Source organism: Homo sapiens, chromosome 10 (genome assembly GCF_000001405.40).
Source record: "Homo sapiens chromosome 10, GRCh38.p14 Primary Assembly".
NCBI lineage: Eukaryota > Metazoa > Chordata > Mammalia > Primates > Hominidae > Homo > Homo sapiens.
Genome location: NC_000010.11, coordinates 73,322,953 through 73,346,444, shown reverse-complemented (window position 1 = coordinate 73,346,444; position 23,492 = coordinate 73,322,953). Strand labels below are relative to the sequence as shown.

At 41.8% G+C, this 23,492-nt stretch overlaps 1 protein-coding gene across 22 annotated transcripts in view, besides 1 other annotated feature; it reads left to right on the top strand.

The window, feature by feature from the left end:
• Positions 1 to 23,492, top strand: part of CFAP70 (cilia and flagella associated protein 70) — a 109,218-nt gene that overhangs the window by 16,535 nt on the left and 69,191 nt on the right. For 17 of the 22 annotated variants that reach the window (XM_047424551.1, XM_017015624.2, XM_017015622.2 and 14 more), the window contains 5 exons: positions 1,201 to 1,380; positions 4,864 to 5,046; positions 10,921 to 11,015; positions 15,169 to 15,268; positions 23,348 to 23,482. In XM_047424551.1, the coding sequence (XP_047280507.1) occupies positions 1,201 to 1,380; positions 4,864 to 5,046; positions 10,921 to 11,015; positions 15,169 to 15,268; positions 23,348 to 23,482 (693 nt within the window). The remainder of the gene's footprint in view (positions 1 to 1,200; positions 1,381 to 4,863; positions 5,047 to 10,920; positions 11,016 to 15,168; positions 15,269 to 23,347; positions 23,483 to 23,492) is intronic. The other 5 variants (XM_017015627.2, XM_006717610.3, NM_001350933.2 and 2 more) reach the window with 2 other exon arrangements.
• Positions 6,640 to 6,934: a silencer, noted in NCBI's record as "tiled region #9775; K562 Repressive non-DNase unmatched - State 16:ElonW". NCBI's record gives its function as "represses a minimal TATA promoter and a strong SV40 promoter by Sharpr-MPRA in K562 cells {active_cell/tissue: K562}" and the evidence as "EXISTENCE:reporter gene assay evidence [ECO:0000049][PMID:27701403]".

The window sequence follows — 23,492 nt, the reverse complement described above, 5'->3', positions numbered from 1 at the left end:
AGGCTGATCTCAAACTCCTGACCTCAGGTAATATGCCTGCCCCGGCCTCCCAAAGTGCTGGGATTACAGGCGAGATCCTACCTTGCCCAGCCTCAATACACATTTAAAACCTACTTTGTATGTATCCTGAGTGAAAATGTCAGAGGTATACACATATATGTCTATACCTATGTATGTGGAATATATACATATCTATTTGAAAAAAATATTTTCTTATTACAAAGCATTACATTTAAATTACAAAAATAGGCTGGGTGCAGTGGCTCACGCCTGTAATCCCAGCACTTTGGGAGGCCAAGGCGGCTGGATCACGAGGTCAGGAGTTTGAGACCAGCCTGGCCAATATGTTGAAACCCCGTCTCTACTAAAACTACAAAAATTAGCTGGGCATGGTGGCATGCGCCTGTACTCCCAGCTACTCAGGAGGCTGAGGCAGAAGAATCGCTTGAACCCAGGAGGCGGGGTTGCAGTGAGCCGAGATCATGCCACTACACACCAGCCTGGGTGACAGAGGGAGACTCTGTCTCAAAAAAAAAAATAAAATTAAAAAAATGACAAAAATAATCATAAAATATAGACTAGCAAAAAAAGCACCCAATCTCACTTACTCATGTGCAACTTCTATCGACATTTCTTTTGTTTTTTTTGAGATGGAGTTTTGCTCTTGTTGACCAGGCTAGAGTGCAATGGCACAATCTCAGCTCACTGCCTCCCTGGGTTCAAGCGATTCTCCTGCCTCAGCCTCCCCAGCAGCTGGGACTACAGGCGCGCACCACCATGCCTGGCTAATTTTGGTATTTTTAGTAGAGATGGGTTTTCACTGTGTTGGCCAGGCTGGTCTTGAACCCCTGATATCAGGTGATCCACCTGCCTTGGCTCCCAAAGTGCTGGGATTACAGGAGTGAGCCATCATGCCTGGCCAACATTTCAACAGAATCTTACAATTCCTGTTTTATATGTATTTATATATATACTTTACCTCAGTATGATAGAGTGGGAAGGGATCTAGTTTAGGGTTAAGATTCTCTTCTTGGCTCTATCTCCAACTCATGGGACTTAGAGAACATGGTTTCAACTTATGGAAATAATTAAGCTTTACCTTCTTATCTTGAACAGTAATATGAGATTCAAATGAGATAATGCAAAAAAGGAAGATCTCTGGCAATTTTCAAAATGCTGCATAATTTTATTCTTTTACAGCAGTGCAGTCTTGAAGTTAAAGTATTAGTGGCAGAGCCTTTACTGACCACAGCCCAGATCTCAGGGGGCAATCTACTGAAGGTCACGTTGGAGGCTGCTTACTCTGTGCCTGAATCCTTCATTCCAACAGGTCCTGGGCAGAACTACATGGTCGGTCTGCAAGTTCCATCACTTGGAGAGGTAAAGCCCTACTGCCAGATATTTATAGAGATTCAAACATGTCTGTACTCATATGGCCATCTCTTCCTCACCTCTAAGATTTCATTCAAAGCATTGCACTGCTAATAGCTGAGATTTATTTTAGGCTTGAAAAATACAGTTTATTTCTATTTTATATACAGATCTTAATGTTTATAATTTACATATTATATATTATGCATTAAATATAATTTATATAAATATATGGTGGAAAATATGTAAGATTTAAAATGGCCAATTTTGGTGTATTTCTATACAGATTATTTTTATGTGTACATTTTGCAGATTTTGTGCAACGTGCTTTATTAAACAAAACTTTCTCTTAATTCCAGATTATTTTCTTAGGCCAAATTTCTAGGTATAGGAATGATTGGATATGGAGTTTCTTAGGCTCTTGATGGAGATTTCTAACTTGCTTGCTAAAAGGCTTCTTCTATTCAGTTAACACTTCCACTTATCTTATTTCCAGGGCCATGTATGTGGATGACCCACTAAAGTTGTGTAGCAACTGTTCAGTTTGCTGAGGACTTAGGAGGTTCCTGGGACATGGGACTTTCAGCACCACAACTGGGACAGTCCTAGGCAAATGAGATGGCTGATCACCCTTCCGGGGAACAGCCCACATAGTTATATGAGGCAGATCTGTGCATTGCCCTCTCTCCAACTTTGAGATTGTATTGAAAATTTTCTCTTTGTTTTTGCTAATTTTGATAATTAAAAGTGTCTTTTATTTTTTTTCTCCTGGAGGGCTTAGTATTTTTCTTGCTGATGTATTAAATTCTGGCTGGGGTGCAGTGGCTCACGCCTGTAATCCCAGCACTTTGGGAGGCTGAGGCAGGTAGATCAACTGAGGTTAGGAGTTCGAGACCAGCCTGGCCAACATGGTGAAACCCTGTCTCTACTAAAAATACAAAAAATTAGCTGGGTATGGTGGTGGGTGCCTGTAATCCCAGCTACTGGGGAGGCTGAGGCAGGAGAACCACTTAAACCTGGGAGGCAGAGGTTGCAGTGAGCCAAGATTGCGCCAAGATTGTACTCCAGCCTGGGCAACGAGTGAAACGCCATCTCAAAAAAAAAAAAAATTCTTCATATGTAGAGAAAAATAATATTTTCTTTCAAGTTTGTCAATTTATAGTTTATCATATTTATTTCTGGTTTATTATTTATTTTTAATTTGGGTCATTGCTTTGGTACACAAAAGTTTTTTAATAGTTAAATCTTTTTCTTTTAGGTTTCTTACATCATTTTAAACTTGAAAAGGGCTCCTTTATTCTGATGTTTTATGAAAGGTTGCCCTACCAGGTCCTAGAATTCTTTTTTGCTTTGCTTTTGGAGATGGAGATGGAGTCTCACTCTGTCGCCCAGGCTAGAGTGCAGTGGCATGATCTCAGCTCACTCCACCCTGTGCCTCCCGGGTTCAAGCAATTCTCCTGACTCAGCCTCCTGAGTAGCTGGAACTACAGGTGCCCACTACCACGCCCAGCTAATTTTTTGTATTTTAGTAGAGAGGGGGTTTCACCATGTTGGCCAGGCTGGTCTTGAACTCCTGACCTCAGGTGATCCGCATGTCTCAGCCTCCCAAAGTGCTGGGATTACAGGTGTGAGCCACCACACCCAGCCCCAGGTCCTAGTTTTATGCAGTAGTCTTAGTTCCAGCTTCCCGTCCTGCCTGAGCATGGGGCCATGATTGCTTCTCTATAATAGTGTCTGGGTCTGACATTTCCTGGGTTGGCGCAGCATCAGCTCATGAGCTTATCCCTTGGGTACTGAGTTGCTGCTGCTGCCAGTTCTGGCACTTTTAGACTTTCTTTTTCTTTCTCTTTTTTTTTTTTTTTTTGAGACGGAATCTCGCTCTGTCACCCAGGCTGGAGTGCAGTGGTGCGATCTCGGCACACTGCACCCTCTGCCTTCTGGGTTCAAGTGATTCTCCTGCCTCAGCCTCCCGAGTAGCTGGGACTACAGGCACCCGCCACCAGGCCCGGCTAATTTTTTGTATTTTTAGTAGAGATGGGGTTTCACCGTATTAGCCAGGATGGTCTCGATCTCCTGACCTTGTGATCCGCCCACCTCGGCCTCCCAAAGTGCTGGGATTACAGGCGTGAGCCACTGCGCCCGGCTTAATTTTTGTATTTTTAGTAGAGATGGGGTTTCACCATATTGGCCAGGATGGTCTCGAACTCCTGACCTTGTGATCCGCCCGCCTCGGCCTCCCACAGTGCTGGGATTACAGGTGTGAGCCACCGTGACTGGACTAGACTTTCATTTACTTCTTTTGACCTTGGCTATGTGATAAAATATAACTCTTTTTTTGTTGTTGCTATTCTACTTTATCTAGTTTGTTGTGTTTGTTGCTGATGAAGGCTCTGTTGTACTTTAGTTTGCTATAGTGTTGGAAATAGAACTTCCTTTTAATTTAAGGGCCATTTATTTATCTTTTCCAGTAAACTTCTTGTTCCTGTTCTTTATCTATCTATATATCTCTCTATCTATCTATCTATTAATAAGAGACAGGGTCTCACTCCATCACCTAGGCTGGAGTGCAGTGGCACAATCATAGATTACAGTAACCTTGAACTTCTGGACTCAAGCAATCCTCTCACCTCAGCCTCCCACGTAGCTGGGATTACAGGTGCATGCCATTGCATCTAGCTAATTTTTAATTTTTTTTTTTTGTAGAGATGGGGGTCTCACTATGTTGCCCAGGCTGGTTTCAAGCTCCTGGCTTCAAGTGATCCTCCTGGCTCTATCTCCCAAAGTGGGATTATAGGCATTAAGCCACCTTGCCTGGCTGATATCTCATTGTTTTAATGTGCACTTTACTGATTATTAATGAAACATAGCATGTTTTTGTTTAAATGTTGGATGTTCTAATTTCCCCTTCTATAAATTGCCTACTTATATATTTTACCAATTTTCTACTGCAAGTATACTTTGGATAAGTTATAAGACATGAAAATGCCTATATTTTTAGCCCCTTGCCAGATTTTAGTTCGTTTTCTAAAGGATAATTTTTAAACAGGTATAAGCACAACTCTCATATAAATATAAATAACACAGAATTTGGTCCAAGATTTTATTTAACTAATTAATGAGGGAATCAGTAAAATGTGACAATGAGTTCAAAGGAGTATATAGGCATCAGGAATGCTGAAATGAATTTGCCAATAATTCAAAATTTGTCATTAGCTTCAGGGAAATAATCAGTTACATTGCCACTGGACAAACTGTATCTGCATATTTATGAACAAGAATAATTTGCATTATTATCAAATGTCTATAAGTTACAGAGTTGTAAAATAGCACAAAGGGAATGAAGGGCACAGGCCCCTCTCTAGAATCAGATTAATCGTAGAGGGGTATGTTTGATAACACTCAGCATTCCATTGAAAAGACACTTGAATAATCTTCTTGTCCATTTCAAAGTCCTTTACAAATTTTCCTGACATATGGTATCTATTTCTGTAGAAGGACTATCCCATTTTATTTAAGAATGGAACTCTGAAGCTTGGAGGGGAAAGGGAACCTGTTCCCCGGCCCAAAAAGTGGCCAATTGCCAACATTCTGGCTCCAGGAGCTAATAACATTCCTGATGCATTCATTGTTGGTGGTCCCTATGAAGAAGAAGAAGGAGAACTCAACCATCCTGAGGTGAGAGCCTGATATACAGGTTTTTGTGATAAACTTAGTGTACTGACAGATGATAAAACATTTTGTGAATTACTGTAATTTATATACATTTGTCACCTGTCGAAATACTTACATGCCAAAATAAAACACATATCTAATTCTGATTCAAATATCTTCTGGCTTCTTAAGTCCAGAAAACAAAATAATTTATATCACATGTACTCTTTATTTTATTTTAAATTTACTGATTTATGAATAGGTAATTATCAGTTACTGTCAAAATTAAAAATGAAGATGTATGCAGTGAAAGTGTCCCTCTAGTCATGTCTCTTCCTTCTAATTCCTCCCCATCTCATTACCCTAGTAGTGATGGCAGCAGTGGCCAGTCTGGAGCAGCTCCTGCCATGATGCTGGCTGCAGTGGGGGAGTCCTGACTGGGCCTACACGCTCCATGGAGCTGGTGGGAGCTGGGAACAAGTGCCCTCCCATGTGCAGCTGCAGCTGCCCAACCACAGCTGCATACCCAGGCATCTCTGCACTCTTGGAAGCTGGGAAGCCCTCCTGCCCCCACAGGCTTGGAAGTGCCTGCTCCTGCTGCCTGGCCTCTGCCTACTCCTGGTGCCTGCTCCAATTTTGGAGCAAAGCTGTGGCCAAGCCTGGTGCTGTCACAACCTGGCCAGGTGCGCATGTGCTCAGGGAAGTGCTGACACACCAACCCCCTGCCACCTTGATCCCCCTCCAGACTTTGGGCACCCACGAGCATGGGAGAAAGTCCGAGGGGCCACTGAGGGCAGCTTGGCATGGGCTTGCAGGCACCCCTCAGCATGAACAGCCAGGGCACTGTGGATGGCAGCAGGAGGCAGACAGGCTCCTGGGCAAAAAGGGGCAGGTGCCCAATGAAACCCCACCTTCAGGCCAGGGACCGCCTTAGGTCTGGGGGCCAGGCTGCTAGTTCCATGGACTGGAGTGAGAACTTATGGTACTTTTCTGGCCCCACCCATGGCCTCCCATGGATCAGTCAGCATCTACTTCCTCCCCTCTGGAGCCTATAAAAACCCATGACTCAGCCAGACTCAGGCAAAGGATGGGATGACCTGCCGGTGGAGAGAAGCTACCCACTGTGGGTCTCCTCTCTGCTGAGAGCTGAACAGTCATTGGGATGCCCTGCCTGTAGAGAGGAGCTACCCACTGTGGGTATCCTGTCTGCTGAGAGCTGAACACTCATCAGGACGCCCTGCCTGTGGAGAGGAGCTACCCACTGTGGGTCTCCTCTCTTCTGAGAGCTGGGCACTTGTCAGGACAACCTGCCTGCAGAGAGGAGCTACCACTACTCAGTGAGTCTCCTCTGAGTTGTTCTGTTGCTCAGTAAAGCACCTCTTTGCTTTGCTCACCCTCCGCTTGTCTGTGTACCTCATTCTTCCTGGATGCGAAACAAGAACTCAGGACCTGCGGAATGGTGGGGCTGAAAGAGCTGTAACACAAACAGGGCTGAAACATGTCCCTTGCTCATCACATTGTGGGTGACAAAAAGGGGAGAAGAGAGAAGAGTTATGGTGCTTCGGGAAGCCCAGACCTAGGAGCTCCCTGAGCCAGGTCTGACACCTGGGGCTCTTCAGTTTCTGGTGTCTCCAAGCTTCTGAGCACCACCACATTCCCTGGTGCCGGCCATGGAAGCCGTTTGCAATATGCCTGGTTCAGCCACAGCCTCGCAGGGAGCTGGCACCTGTGCTGACGCCTGGAGCTGCCGGCTCTGCTGCAGCCAGCATGCCTGGCTGTGCACAATGGCCAGACCCCATGATCGCTTACTCACACACCCCTCAATGATCCATGCCTAGCTCACCCTTGGCAGGCGTGGGATCCAGGCCAGTAGTGCAAGCCTAGCATAGCCTGCCAGGCCAAGTGGGTGAAATGAGCCTAGCAGGCCCAAGCAAAATTTGGGCAAAGGTGTGACCAGCCACAGAGGTTTTCTGCTGGAAAAGCAACAGACCAAGGATTCTGTGACAGTCGTCACCTTTGTTACAGTTTCTTGTGTTTCCTTCTAGATACTTTCTTATGTATATAAAAGCAAATATGTAAGTCAAAGGAAGACCCAGAGACAGAAGCATTTAGAAAAGTAAAGAAAAGGTTTCCTTGGAAATTGTGAAAGGGAGTCAGACTTCAGAAGGACTGGCTCACCAAATAAAAAATCAGTGTAGTCATCTCGGCTGGGCGGAGTAGCTGATGCCTGTAATCCTAGCACTTTGGGAGGCCGAGACAGGTGGATCACTGAGGTCAGGAGTTCGAGATTAGCCTGGCCAACATGATGAAACTCTGTCTCTACTAAAAATACAAAACTTAGCTGGGCACGTTGGCACACACCTGTAATTCCAGCTGCTTGGGAGGCTGAAGCACAAGAATCACTTGAACCTGGAGGTGGAGGTTGAAGTGAGTCAGGATTGTGTCACTGCACTCCAGCCTGAGTGTCAGAGCGAGACCGTGTCTCAAAAAAAAAAAAAAAGTATAGTGATCCCTTGGTGTACATGGGGGTTGTTGCCAGGACCCCTGCAAATACCAAAATTCGTGCATACTCAAGTCCTGCAGTCAGCCCTGTAGAAACTATGTATAGGACAAATTGGCCCTCCATATTTGTGGGTTTTACATCCCACAAATACTGTATTTTTGATTCATATTTGGTTTAAAAAAGATCCACATGGCCAGACATGGTGGCTCACACCTGTAATGCTAGCACTTTGGGAGGCCAAGGCGGGTGGATCACAAGGTTAGGAGTTCGAGACCAGCCTGGACAATATGGTGAAACCCCATCTCTACTAAAAATACAAGAATTGGCTGGGTGTAGTGGCACACATCTGTAATCTCAGCTACTCGGGAGGCTGAGGTAGGAGAACCACTTGAACCTGGGAGGTGGAGGTTGCAGTGAGCTGAGATCATGCCACTGCACTCCAGCCTGGGCAACAGAGTGAGACTGTCTAAAAAAAAAAAAAAAAAAAGAGATTCACATATGAGCCAGGTACGGTGGCTGTAATCCCAGCACTTTGGGAGGCCAAGGCGGGCAGATCACTTGAGACCAGGAGTTTGAGACCAGCCTGGTCCTAAAAACACAAAAATTCGCCAGTATAGTGGTGTGCGCCTGAATCCCAGCTCCTTGGGAAGCTGAGGCAAGAGAATCGCTTGAACCCGGGACACGGAGGCGGAGGCTGCAGTGAGCCGAGACTGTACCACTGCACTCCAGCCTGGGTGACAGAGCAAGATTCTGTCTCAAAAAAAAAAAAAAAAAAATCCGCATATATATAAGTGGACCCATGCAATTCAAATTGTGTTGTTCAAGGGTCAAATGTTTTTAGAAGAAAACAACACAAAATTACCAACGTTACCCCATTTACATTAGTCTATTCATGATGGCAAAACTGCAGGTTTCTTCACTTGATTTTCAGATATACAAAGGTTATAAAATATCTTCAGACATCAGCATAATAAACATCAGGGATAAAAGTACTTTTCTTTTTTTGTTTTTTTGAGATGGAGTTTCCTTCCTGTTGCCCAGGCTGGAGTGCAATGGCCCGATCTTGGCTCACTGCAACCTGCGCTTCCTGGGTTCAAGTGATTCTCCTGCCTCAGCCTCCCAAGTAACTGGGATTACAGGCACCCGCCACCACACCCGGCTAATTTTTGTATTTTTGGTGGAGATGGGGTTTCACCACATTTGGCCAGGCTGGTCTTGAACTCCTGACCTCAGGTGATCTGCCTGCCTCGGCCTCCCAAAGTGCTGGGATTACAGGCGTGAACCACTGCACCCAGCAGATAAAAGTTCTTTTCTTTAGGAAGTCCAGATTTTCAGGAAATGTTCAAAGTCTTGTTATTTTCAGAACTAGTATCTGTTGGGAAAACACTGCTATTTTTCCTTTATCTCAAGGTATTAATGTTTTTGTTTGTTTGTTTGAGACAGAGTCTCACTCTGTCACCCAGGCTGGAGTGCAATGGCGCTATCTCAGCTCACTGCAACCTCTGCCTCTTGGGTTCAAGCTATTCTCATGCCTCAGCCACCTGAATAGCTGAGATTACAGGCACACGCCACCATGCCCTGCTGGTTTCTGTATTTACTTTAGTAGAGACAGGGCTTCACCATATTGGCCAGGCTGGTTTCAAACTCCTGACCTCAAGTGATCCACCCACCTCTGCCTCCCAAAGTGCTGGGATTACAGGCCCAAGCCACCATGCCCTGCCTGTTTTTCATTTTTTAAAACTGAGTGTATAAGGTGTTTAATCATATATATATGCACACACTAATACATACATGTATTCGTTCCCCATCATTTTTATTACACAAATGTAAAGAGTACATACTTACACACACTATATGCAACTTGCTTTGTTTTACTTTGTGGTGTATTTTTGAGATTTTTCCACATTATATAAAAAGCAGTCTCACTCTTTTTCTTTATTTGTACTTGCTGTATAATGTGACATTGTATGGACATACTTTAATATACTTATTAATTATATAAATTACCAGAAATTTGTCAAGGGCATAGAAAATAGTATAACGCGGCCGGGCGCGGTGGCTCATGCTTGTAATCCCAGCACTTTGGGAGGCTGAGGCAGGCTGAGCACGAGGTCAGGAGATCGAGACCACGGTGAAACCCTGTCTCTACTAAAAAAAATACAAAAAATTAGCCGGGCGTGGTGGCGTGCGCCTGTAGTCCCAGCTACTCCACAGAGGCTGAGGCAGGAGAATGGCGTGAACCCAGGAGGCAGAGCTTGCAGTGAGCCGAGATCGCGCCACTGCACTCCAGCCTGGGCGACAGAGCGAGACTCTGTCTCAAAAAAAAAAAAAAAAAAAAAGGAAAATAGTATAACACACTTGCAAATGTTTCTCGAATGAGCTGATAATCCACTGATGGAAACATTTAATAAAATAATTTGTAAAATGAGGATGGTTGAATTATTTTTCATTGTCTGACTAAATATTTAAAATAGTAGACCTGAGGCTAGGAATATTGGAAAAACACTGTGCATTATCTTTTCTCATCATTGTGATTAGTGAAAATTCATACTTTTCTTAGATTTATATTTTAATTTAGATCAGACATTTTATTTTAGACATTCAAATTATATTTTATGTTTCAGTTTAGATTGTTAATTCTCAACCCTGGCTGCACATTACAGTCACCAGGAAAGCGTTTAAAACAATGACAATGGCCAAGTCTTAACCCAGGTAAACTATGTAAGAATTTACTTTTAAAATAGTACCAATGCCAGGTGTTTTTTCCTTTTTTTTTTTTTGAGACAGGGTCTCTGTCACCCAGGCTGGAATGCAATGGTGCGATTATTGAGGCTCATTGTAGCCTCAACCTCCTAGGCTCAAGCAATCCTCCTGCCTCAGCCTCGTGAGTAGCTGGGACCACAGGCTCATGCCACCACACTTAGCTAATTTTTAAATTATTTTTAGAGATGGAGGTCTCACTTTGTTGCCAGCCTGGTCTTGAACTCCTGGCCTCAAGCAGTACTCCTGCCTTGGCCTCCTAAAGTGTTGGGATTACAGGTGTGAGCCACTGCACCGGGTCCAGGTGTTTAAAAAAAAAAAAACAAAAACTCCAGATGATTTTAATATGCATCTAGAGTTGAGAATCATTGATTGAGGTTGTTAGTCAGTATTTGGATCTTAGTACTGGATCAATGTAACTATTATATATGTAATTTATCTTATCTTATATACTTTATTAATAAAGTACTCATAATTTTAAGGTGGTGGTAGTAGTTGCAATAGTAGTCATACTTATAGTAGTAATAATACTAAGAAAAGTATTGTGAACAAATCCATTAAAAGAATGCCCTATAGATGGAGCAGAATGAAGTCATGGCACACATACCGAGAACAGAAGTATTTATATTTTACAGGACAGCGAATTTAGGAATCAAGCAGAGTGCATAAAGAAAAGGATTATTTGGGACTTGGAAAGTCGCTGCTACCTTGATCCTTCTGCAGTGGTCAGGTAAGAAGAAGAGGAAGGACATATGTCTAACCCACAAAGGCTTGTAGGTGGGAAGAAATGTTACTTTTGTTAATTTTATTTATATTTGAGTTAAGGTGATTTTAGATTGAGACTTTCTCATTTATCACATCTATATATTAGAGTGATGTTGTGTTCATCTGCTAATAACAGAAACAGCTAGTGATGGTGGTTTAACCAAGGTGAATGCTTATTCCTCTTTTATATAAAAGAAGTCTGAGCTGGGCCTGGTGGCTCATGCCTATAATGCCAGCACTTTGGGAGGCAGGAGGATCTCTGGAAGCCAAGAGTTCAAGACCAGCCTGGGCAACAAAGTAAGACCCTGGCTCACAAAAAAAAAAAAAAAAAAAAGAAGAAGAAGAAATTAGTTTGGTGCAGATACGTACCTGTAGTCTTACTACTTGTGAGGCTGACATGATAGGATTGCTTGAGCCCAGGAGGTTGAGGCTGCAGTGAGCTGTGATTGCGTCACTGCACTCTAGCCTGGGCAATGGAGTGACACCTTGTCTCTTAAAAAAAAAAAAAAAAAAACTCGGCCAGGTGCAATGGCTCACAACTGTAATCCCAGCTCTTTGAAAGGCCGAGGCGGGTGGATCATGAGGTCAAGAGATTGAGACCATCCTGGCCAACATGGTGAAACCCCGTCTCTACTAAAAATACAAAAATTAGCTGGGCATGGTGGTGCTCACCTGTAGTCCCAGCTACTCGAGAGGCTGAGGCAGGAGAATCGCTTGAACCCAGGAGGTGGAGGTTGTAGTGAGCCGAGATCACGCCACTGCATTCCAGCCTGGCGACAGAGTGAGACTCCATCTCAAAAAAAAAAAAAAGAGTCCAGAATTGGTATGTATGATGGTTACACAGTGTTATTAGGTATCCAGGCTCCGTCTTTCCTTTTGTTCTACCTTCTTAACTATGTGACTTCCATCCACAAGGTTGTATCATGGTGCAAAGGTGGCTGCTGGAGCTCCAGCTTGCACGCTCACATTTCTGGCAGAAATTTGGAAGAGGAGAATGGTTATGGATTAAAAAGGACACATGCTGCCTGTCTTAACCCCTCTTCTGGAACCTTCCTGGAATCTGGCAACTTCTGTTTATGTCTCATTAGCCAACCTCTAGATGCAAGAAGGCTAGACAATAAAGTGTTTTAGTTGAACACATTGTCACCCAGGCTAAATCAAGATTTAATTACTAAAGAACAGGTACACTGATATTGTGTAGGTAACTATCAGTCTTCATCACAGTGACCTGGTTGTTAGAGATAGATGAGAATTGAGGGATTACCAATATATATACAATATGAATGAACAACTCTGACTTTAAAAAAATGAATATCTGTTTTTTTAGGACAGCTTTAGATTTACAGAAAAATCGAGCAGAAAAATTGAGCAGATATTTTAGAGAGTTTTTATATACCCCTGGTCACCCACTTGGTCATGGTGTATAATTCTTTTTTATACATTGTTAGCTTTGATTTGCTAATATTTTATTGAGGATACATTGTTGCCATTATTACCTTGAACAAATAGTTATCAGATCAATTAAGAATAAAAAACATTAACAAATTTATTTTACCTTCATTTATGATATTTCCTGATGCTCTTTCTTATGTTGATACAAGTTTTTTGACCCATGTCATTTTCCTTCTCTCTAAAGAACTTTTAGCATTTCTTGTAAGGCATGTCTACTGGCCAGAAACTCCTCTCATTTTTGTTTGTTTGAGAAAGGGTTTATTTCTCCTTTAGGTTTGAAGGATAATTTTATTAGGTACGGAATTCTAAGTTGGCGGGTTTTTCTTTCACAACTTTAAATAGTTTGCGCTACTGTCTTCTTGCTTGCATGGTTTCTGAAGAGAAGTCCAATGTATTTCTAATCCTTGTTCTTCTGTAGGTAAAGTGTTTTTCCTCTGGTTTTTTCAAGATTTTTTTTTTTGCAGTTTGAAAATGATATGCCTAGATATAGTTGTTTGTTTGTTTTTGTCCTTATTCTGCTTGGTATTCTCTGAGATTCCTGGATCTGTGGTTTGGTGTCTGTCAGTTAATTTTGGAAAATTCTTAGCTATTATTACTTCAAATATTTCTTCTGCTCTTTTCTTTCTTCTTCTGTTATGCCTAATTACACCTTTTGTAATTGTTCCACAAGTCTTGGATATTCTGTTATGATTTTTTGTTTTCATTTTTCTTCCTTTGCATTTCAGTTTGGGGAATTTCTATTCACATATACTCACATTCACTGATTTTATTTTCCTCAGCCATGTCCAGTCAACTGATAAGCCCATCAAATGAATTATTCATTTTTGTTTGTGTTTTTGATATCTAGCATTTCCTTTTGATTCTTTCTTAGAGTTTCCATCTCTGCTTACATTACCCATCTGTTCTTGCATGTTGCCTACTTTTTCTGTAAGAGTCTTTAACATAATTATAGTTACTTTACATTTCCTATCTGATAATTCCAAAATCTATGTCATATCTTAGTCTAGGTCTTATAGTAGCTTTGTCTATTTGGACTATATTTTTTCTTGCCTTTTAGCATTCTTTATAGCCCTTTAATTTGGAAGCTAGCCATTATATATTGGGTAATAGGAATTGGGGTAACTAGTATTTTTAGTGTGAGGTTTTATGTTAATCTGGTTAGGAGCTGGGTTGTGTTTCTTGTTTGCTATAGTTGTAAGTGCCAGAGGCTTCAGTTTCCTTTTTCCCCCACCTCCCCTGTTGTCTTTGGATTTGCCCAAGAACTTCTCTAATAGAGGGGTTTGTAGCCCTCTCAGTTGTAATTCATTGTTATTATATTGAAACTCTGTTGATGTGGTGGCAAATTGTCGGGGAGAAGTATTCTATAACCTGTGATTACGTCTCAGTAAATAGGTTTGGGTAACCTGGGCTGTGACTTTCAGAAGTGTTTGATAATCTTTTTTTCCTCCTATCCCTGTGGAAGCTAGACAGGTTGGAGTTGTCTAAATGCCCTTCCCTGAGATCAGATAAGGATCTGGTAAAGTAGTTTCCCTTAAAGATCAACCCTTTGATAGGGAGAACACTGTGGCCATATTTCAAAATGGTTACTTTTCTTCTCTCCCTGCCTGAAATATGAGGGTATTTTTCTTCTATCTTCACTGTGAGAACTTGGTGGGGCTCCTGGATTTAAAACTTATGTAAGTGTGGGGACCCTTAACAGTGGGCCCCCTGGAGTTTTTCACTCCCAGCTAGTCCACATTTAGCCTCCAGCAATTTGTCAAAATTATCATTAAACTATTTCTACCAGTTGCTGGCACCATTGACTTCTGCTGTCTTTAAGCTGACTGCAGCTGTGATCCTCTGTGTTTTCCTTGTCTCTCTCAATTTCAGGATGGCAGTTTTTGCCTTGTGACCTCAATTCTATGATGGATCTAAGAAATGTTATTTATTTCAATTCGATCAACTTTTTTCTTGTTGCAAGTACAGGTGGGATTACTTCAAAGCTGTATTGGAGCTGAAACTGGATACTATTTTCACAATAGAAATAACCAATTTTATACCATTTGTAAACTTGTCTGATTATTTCTTTAGAATAAATCACTAGAAGTAGAATTTGTAGTCAATGATTATGGATATTTTTAAGGTTTTTGATTCATATTGTTAAATTGCTCTAACAATGTTCAGTTTGCCTCACTAGAAGTTGAGCAGAATTATTTTTGGAATGTTATAGATTTGGGAAAGTTTTAAAAACCACCAACCCAGTAAGAAAAAAAATTTTTTTTTTGAGACAGGGTCTCACGGTGGCCCAGGTGAGAGTGCAATAGCACCATCACGGCTCACTATAGCCTTGACCTCCTGAGCTCAAGCCATCCTCCCACCTCAGCCTCCTCAAATAGCTGGGACCACAGGTATTCACTGCCATGCCCAGCTAATTTTTTGTATTTTTCATAGAGATGGAATTTTGGCATGTTGCTCAGACCATCTCAAACACCTGGGTTCAAGCCATCTACCTGCCTTGGCCTCTCAAAGTGCTGGCATTTACAGGCATGAGCCACTGAGCCGAGCCCCCCAATTTTTATATATGTATATTCTATATTACTTTCTAAAAGAGAATATTTCCCTTTAACCTAAATTATACTGACTTTATTTTTGCATATAATGCTAATGGACTGATTCTTGATTTGCAGTTTTCAGAAGCGAATTGCCGATTGCCGGCTTTGGCCTGTAGAGATCACAAGAGTTCCTCTGGTCACTATACCCAAAGGGAAAGCTGGCAAAACTGAAAAGGTAAATATGCCCCCTCAAAAATATTTATATAAGAAATGTAGAATCAGACCCGACCTGTTATTCTGCTTCAATTCTGATACCAAAAGAAAATGTGAACATAGCTGTTCTCCTAAGGGTGACTAGCTCATTCTGATTTGCCTTGAATGTCACTTGTTTTAGCACTGAAAGTCTCATGTCCCAGGAAAATCCTCTGTCGTGGGAAAAACCAGGATTATTGACCACCCTAGTTCCCCGTTGTTCACTAAAGACTCTCTAGGCTTTATTACCAGATATCCTATTTCTCTTTGGCCCTTCACAATAGTTTTACCATAGGTTAAACTTGCCTTCTTAAAATGTTTTAGCCTGCTAATTAGTGTAATAGGGATCTTAGATATACTACTGTTTTTAAAAGGTATAGCTTTGATGAGCCTAGTACATATTATCTATTGTTTTACCTGTGCATGTCTGGTCTTTTCTGCTTGTTCATAAACTCCCTGAGAGTAGGGGTCATGTAGTAAGCTGATTTGCATCCTCCATGGTACCTAGCATGATGTACGGCAAATAGCAGACCATTTAATAAGTATCTAAATTGTTTGGCTGACTTTAAACATAGGCTTTTTGCATAATAAAAATACTATCACTAGGTAACCATTTCTCCCTTTGTAGTATGTAAGTATTGGCTAACTTTCCTTAGATTTCAAAACTACATATTATCTCATGAACATAGGACTTTTTTTTTTTTTTTTTTGTGATGGAGTCTTACTCTGTCGCCTAGGCTGGAGTACAGTGGCACAATCTTGGCTCACTGCAACCTCTGCCTCCTGGGTTCAAACGATTCTCCTGCCTCAGCCTCCTGAGTAGCTGGGATTATAGGCACACACCACCACGCCCGGCTAATTTTTGTATTTTTAGCAGAGACAGGGCTTCACCATGTTGGTCAGGCTGGTCTCGAACTCCTGACCTCATGATCCACCCGCCTCAGCCTCCCAAAGTGCTGGGATTATAGGTGTGAGCCACTGCACCCAGCCAAGTGTAGGACTTTTAAGTCTAGTTGCCAATTATTATTATAATAGATGAAATCAAAGAGATTATTTTTATGCTTGGAATTAAATTTATTTTCTTTCACAAAATTGATCTTTTTCTCTATAAAAATTTTCTGTGGCAAACCATACAACCATTTAAAACGCTGTTAAAATATATTTATTAACATGTTCTTCATCTTTGCAATGAAAGTTTAGATGAGATCAAGTATGGTAAATACATGACAGGAGACTGTCATTCGTCCGCCTTCATCCATGGTAGATAGTGCTAATCAATCAAAGCACTCTTTCCTTTTGAACCAAGATAAATACAGAGAATTTTTCTCAGCCAACTATGCTAAAACACCTCCACCATTAATGAGAATTTAGACATAAGTTAAAGCCTTTTTGTCATCACTGGTCCACATAATTTGTAAGGTCCCTTTTATTTGTATGAGTCTGTGAACTAAAGGTAAAAGCCATAGCTTCTGATTCCTTTTAAGTTTTTTGTTATTGTTATTGTTGTTTTTTATAAAGCTTCACTTTCTGCTAAGAAGCCGCATGGTGAAATTGACTTTTTGGTTGAATATATATATCAATTAATTTGAGTATGTATTGATTCAACTACTGCCTTTACTATTAACACTGTTTTTTTGTTTGTTTGTTTGTTTATGTTTATTTTATTATTATTATACTTTAAGTTTTAGGGTACATGTACACAATGTGCAGGTTAGTTACATATGTATGCATGTGCCGTGCTGGTGTGCTGCACCCATTAACTCGTCATTTAGCATTAGGTATATCTCTTAATGCTATCCCTCCCCGCTCCCCCGACCCCACAACCGTCCCCAAAGTGTGATGTTCCCCTTCCTGTGTCCATGTGTTCTCATTGTTCAGTTCCCACCTATGAGTGAGAACATGCGGTGTTTGGTTTTTTGTCCTTGCAATAGTTTGCTGAGAGTGATGGTTTCCAATTTCATCCATGTCCCTACAAAGGACATGAACTCATCATTTTTTATGGCTACATAGTATTCCACGGTGTATATGTGCCACATTTTCTTAATCCAGTCTATCATTGTTGGACATTTGGGTTGGTTCCAAGTCTTTGCTATTGTGAATAGTGCCGCAATAAACATATGTGTGCATGTGTCTTTATAGCAGCATGATTTATAGTCCTTTGGGTATATACCCAGTAATGGGATGGCTGGGTCAAATGGTATTTCTAGTTCTAGATCCCTGAGGAATCGCCACACTGACTTCCACAATGGTTGAACTAGTTTACAGTCCCACCAACAGTGTAAAAGTGTTCCTATTTCTCCACATCCTCTCCAGTACCTGTTGTTTCCTGACTTTTTAATGATTGCCATTCTAACTGGTGTGAGATGGTATCTCATTGTGGTTTTAGTTTGCATTTCTCTGATGGCCAGTGATGGTGAGCATTTTTTCATGTGTTTTTTGGCTGCATAAATGTCTTCTTTTGAGAAGTGTCTGTTCATGTCCTTCGCCCACTTTTTGATGGGGTTGTTTGTTTTTTTCTTGTAAATTTGTTTGAGTTCATTGTAGATTCTGGATATTAGCCCTTTGTCAGATGAGTAGGTTGAGAAAATTTTCTCCCATTTTGTAGGTTGCCTGTTCACTCTGATGGTAGTTTCTTTTGCTGTGCAGAAGCTCTTGAGTTTAATTAGATCCCATTTGTCAATTTTGGCTTTTGTTGCCATTGCTTTTGGTGTTTTAGACATGAAGTCCTTGCCCATGCCTATGTCCTGAATGGTAATGCCTAGGTTTTCTTCTAGAGTTTTTATGGTTTTAGGTCTAACGTTTAAGTCTTTAATCCATCTTGAATTAATTTTTGTATAAGGTGTAAGGAAGGGATCCAGTTTCAGCTTTCTCCATATGGCTAGCCAGTTTTCCCAGCACCATTTATTAAATAGGGAATCCTTTCCCCATTGCTTGTTTTTCTCAGGTTTGTCAAAGATCAGATAGTTGTAGATATGCGGTGTTATTTCTCAGGGCTCTGTTCTGTTCCATTGATCTATATCTCTGTTTTGGTACCAGTACCATGCTGTTTTGGTTACCGTAGACTTGTAGTATAGTTTGAAGTCAGGTAGCATGATGCCTCCAGCTTTGTTCTTTTGGCTTAGGATTGACTTGGCGATGCGAGCTCTTTTTTGGTTCCATAACAACTTTAAAGTAGTTTTTTCCAATTCTGTGAAGAAAGTCATTGGTAGCTTGATGGGGATGGCATTGAATCTGTAAATTACCTTGGGCAGTATGGCCATTTTCACGATATTGATTCTTCCTACCCATGAGCATGGAATGTTCTTCCATTTCTTTGTATCCTCTTTTATTTTGTTGAGCAGTGGTTTGTAGTTCTCCTTGAAGAGGTCCTTCACATCCCTTGTAAGTTGGATTCCTAGGTATTTTATTCTCTTTGAAGCAATTGTGAATGGGAATTCACTCATGATTTGGCTGTCTGTTTGTCTGTTATTGGTGTATAAGAATGCTTGTGATTTTTGCATATTGATTTTGTATCCTGAGACTTTGCTGAAGTTGCTTATCAGCTTAAGGAGATTTTGGGCTGAGACAATGGGGTTTTCTAGATATACAATCATGTCATCTGCAAACAGGGACAATTTGACTTCCTCTTTTCCTAATTGAATACCCTTTATTTCCTTCTCCTGCCTAATTGCCCTGGCCAGAAATTCCAACACTATGTTGAAGAGGAGTGGTGAGAGAGGGCATCCCTGTCTTGTGCCAGTTTTCAAAGGGAAGGCTTCCAGTTTTTGCCCATTCAGTATGATACTGGCTGTGGGTTTGTCATAGATAGCTCTTATTATTTTGAGATACGTCCCATCAATACCTAATTTATTGAGAGTTTTTAGCATGAAGGGTTGTTGAATTTTGTCAAAGGCCTTTTCTGCATCTTTTGAGATAATCATGTGGTTTTTGTCTTTGGTTCTGTTTATATGCTGGATTACATTTATTGATTTGCGTATATTGAACCAGCCTTGCATCCCAGGGATGAAGCCCACTTGATCATGGTGGATAAGCTTTTTGATGTGCTGCTGGATTCGGTTTGCCAGTATTTTATTGAGGATTTTTGCATCAATGTTCATCAAGGATATTGGTCTAAAATTATCTTTTTTGGTTGTGTCTCTGCCAGGCTTTGGTATCAGGATGATGCTGGCCTCATAAAATGAGTTAGGGAGGATTCCCTCTTTTTCTATTGATTGGAATAGTTTCAGAAGGAATGGTACCAGTTCCTCCTTGTACCTCTGGTAGAATTTGGCTGTGAATCCATCTGGTCCTGGACTCTTTTTGGTTGGTAAGCTATTGATTATTGCCACAATTTCAGAGCCTGTTATTGGTCTATTCAGAGATTCAAGTTCTTCCTGGTTTAGTCTTGGGAGGGTGTATGTGTCGAGGAATTTATCCATTTCTTCTAGATTTTCTAGTTTGTTTGTGTAGAGGTGTTCATCCTATTCTCTGATGGTAGTTTGTATCTCTGTGGGATCGGTGGTGATATCCCCTTTATCATTTTTTATTGCATCTATTTGATTCTTCTCTCTTTTCTTCTTTATTAGTCTTGCTAGCAGTCTATCAATTTTGTTGATCCTTTCAAAAAACCAGCTCCTGGATTCATTAATTTTTTGAAGGGTTTTTTGTGTCTCTATTTCCTTCAGTTCTGCTCTGATTTTAGTTATTTCTTGCCTTCTGCTAGCTTTTGAATGTGTTTGCTCTTGCTTTTCTAGTTCTTTTAATTGTGATGTTAGGGTGTCAATTTTGGATCTTTCCTGCTTTCTCTTGTGGGCATTTAGTGCTATAAATTTCCCTCTACACACTGCTTTGAATGTGTCCCAGAGATTCTGGTATGTTGTGTCTTTGTTCTCGTTGGTTTCAAAGAACATCTTTATTTCTGCCTTCATTTTGTTACGTACCCAATAGTCATTCAGGAGCAGGTTGTTCAGTTTCCATGTAGTTGAGCAGTTTTGAGTGAGTTTCTTAATCCTGAGTTCTAGTTTGATTGCACTGTGGTCTGAGAGACGGTTGTTATAATTTCTGTTCTTTTACATTTGCTGAGAAGAGCTTTACTTCCAACTATGTGGTCAATTTTGGAATAGGTGTGGTGTGGTGCTGAAAAAAATGTATATTCTGTTGATTTGGGGTGGAGAGTTCTGTAGATGTCTATTAGGTCTACTTGGTGCAGAGCTGAGTTCAATTCCTGGGTATCCTTGTTAACTTTCTGTCTCGTTGATCTGTCTAATGTTGACAGTGGGGTGTTAAAGTCTCTCATTATTATTGTGTGGGAGTCTAAGTCTCTTTGTAGGTCACTCAGGACTTGCTTTATGAATGTGGGTGCTCCTGTATTGGGTGCATATATATTTAGGATAGTTAGCTCTTCTTGTTGAATTGATCCCTTTACCATTATGTAATGGCCTTCTTTGTCTCTTTTGATCTTTGTTGGTTTAAAGTCTGTTTTATCAGAGACTAGGATTGCAACCCTTGCCTTTTTTTGTTTTCCATTTGCTTGGTAGATCTTCCTCCATCCTTTTATTTTGAGCCTATGTGTGTCCCTGCACGTGAGATGGGTTTCCTGAATACAGCACACTGATGGGTCTTGACTCTTTATCCAATTTGCCAGTCTGTGTCTTTTAATTGGAGCATTTAGCCCATTTACATTTAAGGTTAATATTGTTATGTGTGAACTTGATCCCGTCATTATGATGTTAGCTGGTTATTTTGCTCATTAGTTGATGCAGTTTCTTCCTAGCCTCAATGGTCTTTACAATTTGGCATGATTTTGCAGCGGCTGGTACCGGTTGTTCCTTTCCATGTTTAGTGCTTCCTTCAGGAGCTCTTTTAGGGCAGGCCTGGTGGTGACAAAATCTCTCAGCATTTGCTTGTCTGTAAAGTATTTTATTTCTCCTTCACTTATGAAGCTTAGTTTGGCTGGATATGAAATTCTGTGTTGAAAATTCTTTTCTTTAAGAATGTTGAATATTGGCCCCCACTCTCTTCTGGCTTGTAGAGTTTCTGCCAACAGATCCGCTGTTAGTCTGATGGGCTTCCCTTTGTGGGTAACCTGACCTTTCTCTGTGGCTGCCCTTAACATTTTTTCCTTCATTTCAACTTTGGTGAATCTGACAATTATGTGTCTTGGAGCTGCTCTTCTCAAGGAGTATCTTTGTGGCATTCTCTGTATTTCCTGAATCTGAATGTTAGCCTGCCTTGCTAGATTGGGGAAGTTCTCCTGGATGATATCCTGCAGAGTGTTTTCCAACTTGGTTCCATTCTCCCTGTCACTTTCAGGTACACCAATCAGACGTAGATTTGGTCTTTTCACATAGTCCCATATTTCTTGGAGGCTTTGTTTGTTTCTTTTTATTCTTTTTTCTCTAAACTTCCCTTCTCACTTCATTTTGTTCATTTCATCTTCCATCACTGATACTCCTTCTTCCAGTTGATCACATCGGCTCCTGAGGCTTCTGCATTCTTCACGTAGTTCTCGAGCCTTGGCTTTCAGCTCCATCAGCTCCTTTAAGCACTTCTCTGTATTGGTTATTCTAGTTATATATTCGTCTAAATTTTTTTCAAAGTTTTTAACTTCTTTGCCTTTGGTTTGAATTTCCTCCTGTAGCTCGGAGTAGTTTGATCGTCTGAAGCCTTCTTCTCTCAACTCGTCAAAGTCATTCTCCGTCCAGCTTTGTTCCATTGCTGGTGAGGAACTGCGTTCCTTTGGAGTAGGAGAGGCACTCTGCTTTTTAGAGTTTCCAGTTTTTCTGCTCTGTTTTTTCCCCATCTTTGTGGTTTTATCTACTTTTGGTCTTTGACGATGGTGATGTACAGATGGGTTTCTGGTGTGGATGTCCTTTCTGTTTGTTAGTTTTCCTTCTAACAGACAGGACCCTCAGCTGCAGATCTGTTGAAGTTTGCTAGAGGTCCACTCCAGACCCTGTTTGCCTGGGTATCAGCAGCGGTGGCTGCAGAACAGCGGATTTTCATGAACCACGAATGCTGCTGTCTGATCGTTCCTCTGGAAGTTTTGTCTCAGAGGAGTACCCGGCAGTGTGAGGTGTCAGTCTGCCCCTACTAGGGGGTGCCTCCCAGTTAGGCTGCTCGGGGGTCAGGGGTCAGGGACCCACTTGAAGAGGCAGTGTGCCCGTTCTCAGATCTCCAGCTGCGTGCTGGGAGAACCACTGCTCTCTTCAAAGCTGTCAGACAGGGACATTTAAGTCTGCAGAGGTTACTGCTGTCTTTTTGTTTGTCTGTGACCTGCCCCCTGCCCCCAGAGGTGGAGCCTACAGAGGCAGGCAGGCCTCCTTGAGCTGTGGTGGGCTCCACCCAGTTGGAGCTTCCTGGCTGCTTTGTTTACCTAAGCAAGCCTGGGCAATGGGGGGCACCCCTCCCCCAGCCTTGCTGCTGCCTTGCAGTTTGATCTCAGACTGCTGTGCTAGCAATGAGTGAGACTCCATGGGCATAGGACCCTCCAAGCCAGGTGCGGGATATAATCTCTTGGTGTGCCATTTTTTAAGCCCGTCGGCAAAAGCGCAGTATTAGGGTGGGAGTGACCCAATTTTCCAGGTGCCGTCTGTCACCCCTTTCTTTGACTAGGAAAGGGAACTCCCTGACCCCTTGCGCTTCCCGAGTGAGGCAGTGCCTCGCCCTGCTTCAGCTCGCACACGGTGCGCTGCACCCACTGACCTGTGCCCACTGTCTGGCACCCCCTAGTGAGATGAACCCGGTACCTCAGATGGAAATGCAGAAATCACCCATCTTCTGCGTCGCTCACGCTGGGAGCTATAGACCGGAGCTGTTCCTATTCGGCCATCTTGGCTGCCCCCCCCCCGCCCCCGCCATTAACACTGTTTATATGCATTTTCTCAGTGATCATGGTATTATTAAACCCATTTTGAAGATAAAGAAGGCCCAAAATGTCTTATGTAACTGGCCCAAAGTCACATAACTGGCTAAGTAGTTGAGTTAGTTTCTAAAACCAGGCCTTTGAACTGCTGAGTCAGAGCTCCATACCTTATATTACATTGCTTATAGCACTAACAACTCTCTGGTTTTATTCCTTTAGACTGATGAAGAAGCTCAGCTTTCGTTTCATGGTGTGGCTTATGTTAATATGGTCCCATTGTTGTATCCAGGTGTGAAGAGAATTCGGGGAGCTTTTCATGTTTACCCTTACCTAGACAGTGTAGTCCATGAAAAGGTAAGAAAAA